The 13,914-nt window shown below is 35.5% G+C and overlaps 1 protein-coding gene across 29 annotated transcripts in view; it reads right to left on the bottom strand.

The window, feature by feature from the left end:
• The window catches only part of BBX (BBX high mobility group box domain containing), a 288,378-nt gene that overhangs the window by 62,852 nt on the left and 211,612 nt on the right, over positions 1–13,914 (bottom strand). For all 29 annotated transcript variants that reach the window (XM_024453646.2, XM_011513001.3, XM_047448599.1 and 26 more), the window contains 2 exons: positions 3,778–3,858; positions 449–523 (listed from right to left, as the gene is read on the bottom strand). In XM_024453646.2, coding sequence (XP_024309414.1) covers positions 449–523; positions 3,778–3,858 — 156 coding nt within the window. The remainder of the gene's footprint in view (positions 1–448; positions 524–3,777; positions 3,859–13,914) is intronic.

The following is a 13,914-nucleotide window of genomic DNA, read 5'->3' as shown; positions in this document are numbered from 1 at the left end:
ACATCACATTGAAAGCTAATTTAACCTGATTTAACAGGTCGTATTCACCACTGCAATCACTGTGAGAGAGTCATTCATGAATTATAGCATCTAATTTCACTATTGGAAAAATTTAATAAATCGAAAGCCTCTGACATTCTTGTTGACAGCAGTTTTTCCAAGCTTTTAAAATAAATTAAAAACAAGATAAAATGAAATAAACACATTACTGGTATTCTGAATGAACTCTTTAATGAATACTTATAAAATGGGTGTAAAATCGGGAGCTGATTTGACTATGATTAGATCAAAGGCAGCAGAAAAAGCAATAAATATTCTGTTATGTGTATTATGTTAATAATGACAACAGGCATGCCTAAAGTTCACTATACATTATTAAAACTCCATTCCAGTATTCCTGAGCTCAACAAGTTTTCTTAGCCTAAAAAGCATTTTAAAAAGGCCATACCTCTGCAAACTGAAACAAGGCAGATGTTTGACACTGCTTTGTAGAAGCATCAGAGTGGGACGTACTTGAAGATATCTGAAAGGAAACAAGCAATTTTTAATATACAATGACATTTTTCCACATCAGATCATAAGATTCTGCCATATATTTTCAACTGTAGACACTGATAAAGATTTAAAAATGAGTCATTACCCTCAATCCCTTTAGAAGAGCAGTATAAATGATAAGGGAAGACAAAGGCCATGTTTCTAAAAACAGATGATTATAAAGAACAAAGACTGAGTATGGCTCATTTGCCATGTCTTTGGTAAGGGTACCAGGTATATATCAAACAGCAGTTAAGGAGACCTGTTGACATAAATTTCCTTACTTAAAAAAAAAAAAAGGAAAAAATGTATATTGTTAAAAGCTGGAGGTTGCAAGTGAAGCCACTCCCTCACTCTCTTCCCAATACCACTCCTTCCAAGCTGTTCTCTAGTTAGAGGCAGCTGTGATGCAGTGTTGGTGAAGCATATGGATATGGGTCAGGGTATCTGGGAGACTGAATCTCAGCTCTGCTACTTACCCACAACATGACCTTGGCCAGCTCAGCTAAACTTTCTAAGACTTATTTTTCACCACTGTAAATTGATGATGATGATAATAATCTGCATTTTAGAGGATTATGGTGAAAAAAAATAAGCCATAAAAGATGTTACCTAGCATGGCACCAGAACTCAATAAATTGTTTACTAAATATGAAAAGCATTTTCTTCTTTCATAGCACCTGCGTCCTCCCACCCAACACAAACACACACACACACACACACACTCACACGTTAGTGTGTGACAATGAATGGAAGAGTCTGCCACCCTACACTTGATTCAACTAGGGGACCTTTTGTTTCCAGTTGGCAATTATGGTAGCTTTCTTCAACTTTGCTCAGAGGAACATGTGGAAATACTTTTCAAGGACATTTTGGGAGCAAGGTGAGTTAGTAATTTTGGTTCCAAAGTGAAAAAAACTTTTTTTCAGCTATAATACAGGGTAAAAGTGGGTCACAGGAGCAGAAAGCCTGGGCATCATAATAACTTCAGCCCATTCCCAATCCCACAAGTCTTTCCTTCAAGTAACTGTTCACCAACAACTCCATCAAAGGGTACTTACTAAGCAGTAAATCCACTTCATCAAAACTCTTTCATCACAAAAACTGCTTTTTCGTTTTAGTTAAACTGGTTAGAAAAACAACAGGGCCACGTAGTTATACATATAAAAGTGATGTTTAGGAATGGGAAAGAATCAGGAGGCTGGCATAGTGTGGCTCACATCTGTAATCCCAGCACTTTGGGAGGCTAGGTGGGAGGAGCACTTGAGCCCAGGAGTTTAAGACAAGCCTGGGTAACATAGCAAGACCTTGTCTCAAAATTAAAAAAAAAAAATTAGTAGAGAGACTGACTGAGTAATTAATTGTATTCACTGCTGAAGCCATCAGGAAAATTTCATTCTACTGTGCTTTTTAATCTGATAAGGATTTTTAGAATAAATATCAGTAAGAAGAACAAATATCAACCAAATCCAATTTAACAAACTAGGTAGAAATAAACCATTTTATCCATTGTAAGATCTAACCAAGTGTTCTGAAGACATTCAAGGATAAAATTTTAGAACTTTTCTTGGTCAAACCATGAATCTTATCATTTCAAGTGACCACCATGTGCAAGTATGACAGAATGCAAAAATGAACCCAGAGAAATCTTCCTGTAATCTTAGGAATTATAAACTCAGTACAACTTATTTCAGACATCACTTTTCATCCCTACCAACCCTCTATAAAAGTTAGAAAAAAATAAACAATTTATATAAGGGGAAATACACAAATATTGTAGGTTATACCTAAATACAATATATTCCTTTAAGAATTAAATCAAGCAGTGAACAAAATAGAACCAGTGTTACAATCCATCCAATTTTGTGAAAAGTATCTCAGAAGTTCTAAAAAAAGGGGGAGGGGGATGTTATTATAAATTAAGATAAAGATTTCAATTAATAACATAAATAGGAGCTCCTGGAGATAGAGACCTTTTATATAAAAGCAATAGGATCAGGGATCTCTCTGGATCTTAGATATGCTGTTAGAAGCCACAAAAATGTACACATGCTAACATATCCAAAATTTCCTGTGAAATTTTAGAGGTATCATTAGATCTTTAGAGGTTCAAGGATCATCTCTTAAGCCGTTCTGCTTTCAAAGTTGGGACCAATCTTATTTAACATGTTTATAACTGCTTTTGACAAAAAAGAGTGCAGGCTGAGCATGGTGGCTCATGCCCTGTAATCCAGTACTCTGACGGGCTGAGGTGGGACGATCGCCTGAGATCACTAATTCAAGAACAGCCTGGGCAACATAGTGAGACCCTGTTTAAAAAAAAAAATTAGTTGGGCATGGTGGCATGTGCCTGCAGTCCTAGCTATCAGGAGGCTGAGACAAGCGGATCCCTTGAGCCCAGGAGTTTCAGGTTACAATGAGCTATGATCATGCTGCTGCACTCTAGCCTGGATGACAGATTGAGACTCTCTCTTAAAAAAAAATAAAAAACAAAAAATGTTCCCCCTGTATAAAACTGTAAAACAGTTGGGCAAACACCAGGAAGGATGACAGTGGTGAAGAATGTGTAGTCAAAGACAATTCAAATGATCAAGGAAAGACCAGGTGGCTTAAAGTTTAAGAAAAAAATGTATCAGTGAGGGCTCATATTGAGTTCCAGAGTAAATTAAGATATTCTGAGCAGTCTTAAACTTTAGACTTGATATCAAGGACAATGTGCTTTTATACACCATCTCTTTGAACCAGTGTCAAGAGACCTATTGAGCTGAACAAGTCTGACAAAAGAAGACTTTGAAAACTGCCAACCTCATGCTAAAGTTTCAATTAAGATGAAAGTGCACTAAAAAAAGAAAAGAAAAAGAAATGCATAGATTAGCTGCATAGCCAATAACCATGAGCTGATTTTGTCTTCTGTTTTATCAAATAAACACATCAACAAATGACTAAATTCTAATAGTAATTCAATATATTCTTAACCTTACTATCCATGAGTAAAAATTAGTAATGAGGTTAATAATATTTAGTATGACTTTAATGATAAGCTTCTATAAACGCATAAATGTAGTTATTTCTTAATTAAGAACTCTAGAGACCCAAAATATCTTTTCCAAAATTTGATTCTATTTTCCCACTTATGGTTGAGCTGAGTAGAGTTCTTCATTGCTTTCAGTTACTGTTATCAGCCCCAATTTAAGCCCACTTTACAATTTCCTCATTAGTTAAGTATCAATTGTAATATATTACCTCGGCAAACTGAAACAATGGTGACTTCTGACGTAATTCAGGAGATTCTGAAACATCAGGCCTGCATGTGCCAGAGGATACCTGAAACAAAGAAAGATATCATATTTTCTTTTGTACTATTTACTGTGTTAGGTAAACATTTAATGCTCTATCTTCATTTGCGATCTTTATTATCAACAACAGTTACAGAAACATCACTTTTTAATCAAGTATTTTTCTCAGGATATACATTTCCTCTTTTATCTCAATGCTAACATTGACCCACTTTTGCATTTGCTTTGTGACAACTGCTTTGGTAGTCAACTGTTATTCAAAAGTCATAGGAAGCTTAGAATGTTAGAGAGGGAAGGATTTCATTATTCCTGTGATCTAAACCTCTCACTTTTCAAAGAGGAAGAAACTTTGACACTTCCTCTCCCAATGCTAAAAAATCCCATCTTTATTAAACACTGATCACCACAAGATGTAAATATTTATTTATTGTACATCCTCTCCCAGAGACTTTATTTAATGCATTATCCCCAACACTGCCTGGGCACAATGTAGATACTCAACAAGTATTTGTGGAGTGAACTAATGAAAGCTGACAACAGTTCTCTTAACCCCAATTCAGTGTGATTCCTTCCCACTTTTCCTGAATAATGAAGTTAGAGAGTCTAGGGGGAAAAATAATCTTTCACTTTAAAGAAAAAAATGAAAGTTACAAATACTTTTTAATAACTTGTTTTCTGATTACAAAATAATCCAAGTTCACTGTTAAAAATCTGAAAAAAAAAAAAAAAAAAAAAAAAACCACTAAAACAAAGAAGAAAAATCACCTACAATGTTACCTCCCAAAGATAAGTACTGTTAATACTCTTATATATTCTTCCAGTTGTGTAATTTTTTAACAAAAATAGAATATTCTACCACAGTTACAGAATGTTCTTTTTTAAAAAAACTTTAATATTAATTTTTCTGCATCACTAAGTCTTCTCTAGTGTAATTTTAATAGCTGCATGTGATTATATTTGATGGATAAATCCTATGGAAAGAGCTACTAGTTACCCAGATTATGCTCCTAAAAACAGTTTCTCACTGACCCTCTTAAGACATTGAGGACGTGTTTCTCTAACAATGTCACAGGCCACTGGGCAGGAGCAAACATTTGAAATTTTAATTGTCACCTTTGGATTTTAAAGAGTAATGGTCACCTTCTCCCAGAGATAAGCACATTAGTGAAGGTGCAGAAGCTTTTATTAATTTGCCACCTGTGGTTTGGCTGCAAAGCCTGACTCTCTTATTGTCACTATTTGATATGCTGTGCCAAATGTCCCACCAAGGAGACACAAAATGAATTAAAAAGGCCAACAAATCCTGAAATTCGTAGCCACAAAAAATTGAGAACTCCTTTATTGGTAGGAATACCAGAACAAAATATATCTTTATAATTTAGAGGTATTTTAAAAAAATCAACTTCTCTGCTTTATCAAAAAATATATTTTTGGCTCCTAGATTATTTGGTAAATAATCAAAATTTTACTTACATTCAAGCTTAGGACTTTTTGAAAATTATAAAATGTCTTCATAAAACTTTAATAAAACAGGTGTGCATAAGACAGAAATCTATAAAATATATTTGGAATTAAACGTATTATTATTTAGAGTTGCTCCACTGCATAAAGTCTATATGACATACATGCTTATTTCAGATCCCACAATTCACAAGAAATAGTGACCATTTATGAGGAGGTAAATTACCCTATGGCTTAGAGTTCACATTAACAGCATGAAGAAAATTCAACTTTCTTTTAAGTGTCATTTATAGATTATTTGGCCACGACAACACATCAAGTCAGAAAGTTTAAAAGTTCAATAATACTGTTTGCAAATCTTTAGGATGGATGGTCTTATATAAAACTTCCTATATGAACACATAATTATGAAGGCATCTATAATCCTGTACATGGTTTGTCAATTTTAGCATGCAATCAAATAAGTCTACACATGTTTGTGCTTATCATGCTCCTGACAAAGAGGGGGTGGCACAATGAATATCTATTAACTTAATTCTCTCCATATGTATGTGAATAGGAAGAATCTCAGTGACCTGGCCAGGAGTACAACAAATGCTATCCAATGGCTAAAATAACAGTAATAGAATCACTAATGCTGTGGATTTTACTCTAGTGGACCATGTCCTCTCTTAAAACCTAGTTATTCTTACTTTAAAGCATTACGGATTTAGCATACATCTTCAGTATAGTATAGTGGAAACAGCACAAAATTAGGAGCCAGGAGAATTGGGAGAGTACTAAGCTATGTAGTTAGCTGACTTGGTTAGCTGACCCTCTAGTCCACAAAAGAATAGAGGCAGCGTATCAGAAGGGGCCAAGAGGGCCGACAAAAAAAAAAAAGAAAAAGGAGGGTTGGGAAGGAAAGAAACAATGCCAGCAGCAGGATAAGACAGAAGGAGAAGACAGAAAAGCTGTAAAGAACAGATACAAATGTTTCATAAAGCACTAGAGTCTGTCTAAAACAAATTGAATAGGGAAAACAGCCCCCAAATTTCTCAAGAAGGCATCAGCTCAATGCAATAATTATTTACAACTATAATTCTAAGTTGTCAACGTAAGAAAAATTGTAAAATATATCATTTATTAAGAAGGCAGAAATCTGTGTGATACAGGTTAGACATATTTCTTCTGGGGATCTAAAATCTCAAAATATAAAAATGGTTCAATGACATGGCAAATATAAATATGAAGAATTCATTATTGAGTACTTGATAAGTAAGGCAACCCATAAAATGTATATATCTGTGGATACACTGATCTACACATGAATTTGATAAAGAAATAAGAAATTCTATCTATATAAAAGGGAGAGAATACTTCCCACAAAAGGCTCCCATTTGAGTAATGTCATTATTCAGAAGGTTCTAGATGTTGTGAAATGTTTAAAATATTGTGCCATATCATTGTGATGTCTGCATTTAAAGTACTTCACTTATTTTTATTAGGTGGGCCACACTTTTTATGGATAAACATCAATTCTGTAATATCTATTCCTATGCTAGAGCCAGTTTACTTTCTAAATACAAAATAGTCAAAGATATTTGTTCGTTAATTAAGAGGAAAGAAAAAATATTAAATAAGTAGTGGTTATTTAATAAGGGAGAAAAAAACCCAAGAAGCTGTTTCTAGAAATAGTCTCTGAAATAATCGATAAAGCCACTAGGTGTTGCTATATGCCCAAAAACAAAAATAGCTAACGGGATTTTTGTTAAGTACATATTCATTTGATTTCCCCAAATTCAATCCTCTCTTTGATTTAGTTATAATTCTCAATAACCATGGAAGGGGAGTGATTAGTATAATTAAGAATTACAATAATGCAGTTTTTTTCACAGGAGCAATTCACATAGTGAAATTGAATACATAAAAAAGTGAACTGGCCTCCTGATATAAAACAAGATCAAGCCAGTTACATGCATTGTGAGTAGTGTGGAAAGCTAGGTTGTTATCATGAGCCTGTCCTTACTTTGCAAAACACAGGACCACAACCATGCACTGCCGGCATGAACACACGGTCAACAAAAGGAGTATTGCACTGGTAGTATCTGAGCCATACGTTCCTACCCTTGCTAATTCAAACATTTATTGATTACTCACTCATTCAACAAATATTTAATAGGCACCTATGACATGCCAGACACAAAGACTGCTACTTTCAAGAAGCTTGTATTCTACTTGTATCTAGTATGTGTTAGGGAATAAAATGATGACCAAAGGAAATGTGCCTAAGCCTTAGTTGCTTGCAACTCATATGCAGGGGACAGCAACATCATATACAAAAATGTAAGTGCATAATGGTAGAATATTACAAGGTCTACAGGAGGACGGAGAGGCAGCCTTCACTCTGTGTGGGAACAGGTGGAAGATAGATAACATCTAAGATACACCTTAGGAAAACCAGTTCTCTCACAAGTGTAGAAATGATACGGTAACAGGAGGTGGGAAAGTATGAAGGTAAGAACACAGTGTGTTTGAGAGAGTGACTTTCTCAGTGTGGCTGAAGAATAAGATGCATTGGAGTATAGTGGGAGAATCTGAATTCTACATGAAGAAGTTTGAAAATTGGGCTGGAGGCAGTGAGGAGCCAGCCAAGATTTTCAGTCAGAGAGATGTGTAGTCAGGTAATTCTGTCAGTGGAGTGCAGGGTGACGCTGTCTGGGGATGACTGGAGGCAGGAGGCTAATTAGAAGATTAAGGAAATAAGCCATTTGAGATGTGAGACTCCAACTGAATCAAAGATGGTAACTGCCAGGCTTCAGTAATTGTCTGGAAAGATGTCAGAGCTGAGGGAAAGGGGTCAGAAACACAATGCCTGTGTTTCCAAGGTAAGTTAAAGCTTTCACTGAAAGAGGAAATTTGAGAGATGGAAGGAGGTTTGGAAGGAGGCAGTGAGTGTCTTTTATGAGAAGAGATGGTTTTGGGGTAGAGGATTCCATCTGAGAGTTAAAGGAGAAGCTGGTTACTAACGCACTGCACTCGGCTACCTGACACAAGCGGTGCACTACATCTGAGAAGAGTCCTGGGCCGCCACGGGGGGCATAACCCAACAGCACCACATAGAGTTGAGCTCTCCCACAAGCAGAATACATGTCGAGTCATCTGGCTAAATGGAAGAACACATCCTTGGTTTTACTCAGGGCATCAGGGCTGCTGGAGTATGGATTTTACCCCATGAGTCAAGTTCTCCTAACATTATAATCTGTGTGGCTGAGCACTAGTATGAAAGTCCAGAACAGACTCCAGGCCAGTTGTAAAAATAACTGCAGTAGCAATTGAGATAACTCCGATCACCTTTCTGCCTCAGTTTCCTCATTTGATAAAGTAGGTACAATGCCACTCTGTCTACTTGCCTTCTTCACAGTAAACTGTGAGAATAAAATGCAACAGTGTACATCAATGTGCTCTCCAACAACCACCTAATTGACAATAACCACACCTCTCTTGTGAAGGATGCCTCCTTTATCTTCCTGCTCTCCACCCTTCTCTTTCGAGCCCAGCTCTCTTTCTGCCCACCTTCCACTCTACCTTTGCCTTCATCTCTGAGAGCCCAACGAGCATACTCAATTTCATCAACGCAGCTTAGGGACTTACGGAGGATGTGTGATTTGTCAATCAAGCTGGGTAAAAGGACCCAATTATCTGGGCTTGAGCCCCACAGTGGACAGATGGTAGAGGCTGGGTTCTACCATTGGATTTGGATGGGCAGGTCCAGCCAAAGTGGGCAGTGAAGAGTGACATAAAGGGGGAGCCACCCAAGAAAAGAGGAAGCTCAGAGAGCCCATTTCCTTTTCAGTGTAGAATTTAAATAAAGTAAGCTATAAAACTATGAGAAGGGAATAAAAGTTTTGATGAGGTTCAGGTAGGAACTGGGGCAAGGAGTTTGGAATTCAATGGATTAAAGTATTCTGGAATAGTCAAATTTAGCAGCCTAAAGGAGGCACATATCTAATTAATTCAAATACACCAACAAGCAGGAACATATAAATAGCCTCATTTCATTGATGTTAGAAATTAGAATAAAGAAAGTGAAAAGTTTCCATTTTATTTAAATCTGTATTTGTTTAAAATTGTTAAAAACTCAGCATTTAAGATGTGGACATAATCATTCCTTTATCCAACAAATATTGGTAAAATTCAACCTTTCTGTGTCTCAGATTTTTGCCTATCTCATCATTTAATGAAAAACAATGTGGGTGTAATTCTAGTATTATGAATTCCTCATTCTACGACCTTTGAGAAGTTATTTCACCTCTCTGACCTAGTTTCCTCATTTACAAAATGGGGAAAATAATAAACCAGCCTCAGAGGGTTCTTGAGAGAATGAGATACTCAATGTCAACTGTGAACACAGTGCCTGGCCCCAGAAAGCACTCACAAAATGCCCCTGCTCTGGCAGTGATGAGCTTCAGTAAGGGTGCAGCACAGGACACAGGACACAGGACACAGGAGAAGTGGCCAGAGCTAAGGTTGGATTGTCAGAGGCTGAATCACCAAGGCCCCTGCGTGCTGCAAGAAGACTGAAGCTAGTCCTCCGGCGTTGGAATCCCAGTTCTGCCACTTTGTAGCCTCACCATCGTGGGCTGTTACTTTACCCTTCTCTGCCTCTGTTTCCTCACCTAATGGTAAATATTTACTTATAAGGTAAATAAGACTTAACTCACAAAATTGTTACAAGGATTAAGAGTTAGTCTTACGGAATACACTTAAGAATTGAGCCTTGGAGGCAATGTTCAATACATGTTAGTTGTGATATAATAACAACTATTCTCCAGGCAAGTGGGTAGACCTGCTGCAGTTTAAATCTTGTCATTGTTCTTGATCCCAAGTTTCTTAGTCTTCTAGAGACAATACTTACATATAATACAATAAGAAAATTTTTTAAAATATGACTTTTATTATACAGTTTATAATAAATTATAAAACTAAATATAATCAGTGTTGTAAGGTATGAAACTAACAATATGGGATATAAGAGATTAGAATAAACAGAGAATTGAATATGGCTCAAGAAATCATGAAGGACTTCCTGGAGGAGGTGACAGATTGATATTACAAACTTACAAGGCAAAATATATTTATTACAGGTTCAGTATCCCCAATCCAAAAATCTGAAATGCTCAAAAAAATCTGAAACCTTCTGAGTGCCAACATAATGCTAAAGGGAAATGCTCACTAGAGCATTTCAGATCTCAATTTTTTGGATTTGGGATGCCCAAAAGGTAAGGATCATACAAATAGTTAAAAAAAAAAAAAAAAAAAAAAAAAAAAAACTGGAACTCTGAAGTACTTCTGGTCCCAAGCGTTTTGAATAAGCAATATTTAACCTATATTTTTGGATTTTAAGAAATCTTGATGCATAAGCTGTAAACATTTTAAAATAGGCAGATCATGGTGAACAAACGAAAATCAATGTGATTTCCTTTTAAGCTAGAAGTATCATGTGAAGAATTTGCTATATCTAAAAACTTGAACCTTAAGACAATATCAGCTTCAGGCTGTCTGGTTTGTTCCCTGACATGCCTTACACATACAAGGCATTCAATAAACACTTGTCATGTAATTAAATATAAGAAAAGATGGCACACAGTTCAGCACTGTTCAATTCTCAGAGAACACGACCTTTACAGTCCTTTTATGGAGGTGTGCCATCATCTATTAGCATCTTCTCCACTAATCTGACACTAACTCAGCTACTCTGCTGACTTTGGACTTCCTATACTGATTTTTCCCAGATATTAAAAAATTGTCTCCTTCTTGAGCACCTGATGATAAAGATAGTAAATTACAACGGTAATTTCTGCTAAGTTTTCAATAGACAAGAACTCTCTCTCTCTCTCTCTCTCTCTCTCTGTGTGTATGTATGCATGTTGCTGGTAAAGCGTATCAGCCTGTGGGAGAAATGTCTGATATAATTTAAACTTGCAAGTTGAATATGAAATGCCTAGAATAACTAATGGCAATAATATATACCTACAAGAATTATTTGCAGGAGAGTTAAAAGTGCCTTACAGCTTTTATTTAATTAATCTTCACTGTAGCCTTGAGATTTGAAGGCAAGCAGGTATTATTAGCTCCATTTCATAGGATGGAAGGCAAAGAAAAGAGTGGCTTGATCAATACTTTACTGTCATTATCTGCTGGCTCCAACAAAACAGGCATTCTAAAATCACAGACCCAAAGTCTAAGGTACTTCCCATATATTTGAAAGTTTAGCTTCCAACAGTCATACAACTACACAGATATTGATACCTTCGAAGCTTTTCATCAGCTATAATTAATCTGACTAACTTATATTCTACTTTTCTCCAACCACCCCTCTCCTTCTGTTCTAGCCAAGATGAATTTACGTTGCTCACTTAGGTCTGATACTGGATGTCATCCTTTCTGAGATCAATCCAAGTTGTTGTATACATGACATGGTGAATAACTGCCCCTTCCACAATCTGAATTATATCACTCCCTGCCTTGTTTTTTAAGATTTAATTTAGCTTTCCATTTTTATTAAGATAACTAACAAATATAAGGATTTCTAGTCCTGGAGATTACTTCTAGAAATTCTAGATCAAGTACTGACAATTTTTTGTATTTTCATTTTTAGATAACTCTGTGGTATAAAACATAAAGGCTTAATTCTCTGCCTTCTCATTAGTTCTTCCCTGAGTTTGATGTGAACATGATTACTTTTATTTGTTCTACATTTTTATTTCTGGTTCTTTAAATTAAAAAAAAAAAGGTGATATTCACTTAAACTTCTGGGCATTCTATTTAATAGAGAGGCTGTCATCTCCGTTGTAGCTCCCTGCCGCCTATTTTTGTCTGGTACTTACATTTTACTGATTAAAGAACTACATTTGATTTCTGATTTAAATAATTTGCTGTAATCTCATATTCACTGGACACACTCCTTTCCATTTCCTTTATTATTATGGGGTTATTTACTAATGAGACTTCTATACTTCTATTTTACAGGGTCTCAGTAGGGACATGCTTAGTCTGCTATTTTGAGCCAGGAGTCACTCCTTTATGTCTTTCGTGCTCAATGTATCGATTTTGCTTCCTCAATCAATAAATTCTGTAACAACCAACATTGTTTTAAATAATTTATCCCAAATAATTTATGCATTTCAATGTACTCTGGGTATAAAAAAACAAGGCCGATTATGTGCAAATAAAATAAACAAAACAAACTATCAAAACGCATCCATTTTTTTTCATCACAGACCCAGTTACCACAATGAGACTATAGAACCACGCTAGGCTTAGTAATAGAGGCACATAAAAAATGTTGAAATAATAATGCAAAAAATCTATTATTGTAGATTAAGAATTGATCAGAAGACAGAAAAAAAGAGAATACACAACATTTTGTTTGTTATTATTTGCGATTGATATCTCAAGAAATTATAATTTCTCTCTAAAAACTCTAAGTGCATTTCAGTAGATCTAGGAAGCAGTATAGGCTTTTAATCTGGGACTTTATTATTTCAGTTACAGTAAGCCTCTCTACCCTCTAGAGATGCTTTTTTAAAAGAAATCTATTCCCTATGTTAAAATTTTCATATTTAAAAAAATAGTCTTTTGAGGACTTTTTCTATATGGTTAGGTCTCAAGTCAGTGAACAAAAGAAAACCTTCTCTGTTTAAGAATAATATTTCAGAATAAGGGTTCTGTCATGGCATTTTTAAAAGCCAGTATGATTAGACCATTTGCTGGTGGCAGAATTTTTGAAAATGTCACTTTGGTCTTACCTCACAGTACCAACAGACTTCACAGTAATTGTTCTAAATGTCAGAAATATGAAATTTCTGTATTTCTCTTATCTCATTATCCTGCTAGTCTTCTTAGGAAAACATAAGTACATATTTATTACATTTGTCCCATGTTCATCTGCCTATGCATATAAGCTCTTAAAGTTCATTATCATGTCTACATATCTGGAATAAGACTTCGGATAGAAATTCAGGTGCTAATGCAGTCTACTGATAGCTGTGAAGTAAATTCTCAAACTACCTATATTTAGAGACAGCATTATTTTATACAACTTTCACTGTTTAAATATCTCAAGACTATTTTCAATAATGACCCAAATATCTCTGAGATGGGAAATACTGAATATGAAGAAAGAGTTGTGTTCTTTGAAGTGATTCTTAAAGACCTAACTGCTACCACCTTCTTCCTTAGCATAGATTCTCTTCTCCCATTATGGTTCCCTTCTTTCAATCATTTAGCTTTCTTTGATTCTTCAGCTTGAGAATTCTCAAAACATTTCCACTTCAGAGATAAAGGGTCCACCACAGTATTGAGTTGCATGTGTCAAAACTCTGCCTTCTTAAGAAGGAGTAGGAGAACTTCTCATTGAAAAGAGCCCAAAAGGCAAACTTTAAGCAAAAAGGGGAAAAAGAAACCATGCTTTTCTTTGACTAGCATCCATGAGTTCTACAGACGTTGATTTGTTTACATTTGTACTTGAAGGTTAAAAAGAACACTAAATAGATGTTGCGAATGAAACACTATGATAATTTAAATAGTTAAGAAAGATGATGCTGGCTTTCACAATTCAATGTATTCTTGGGAATCATAT

The sequence above is a fragment of the Homo sapiens genome, chromosome 3 (assembly GCF_000001405.40).
Source record: "Homo sapiens chromosome 3, GRCh38.p14 Primary Assembly".
NCBI lineage: Eukaryota > Metazoa > Chordata > Mammalia > Primates > Hominidae > Homo > Homo sapiens.
This window is presented reverse-complemented; position numbering and strand designations above follow the sequence as displayed.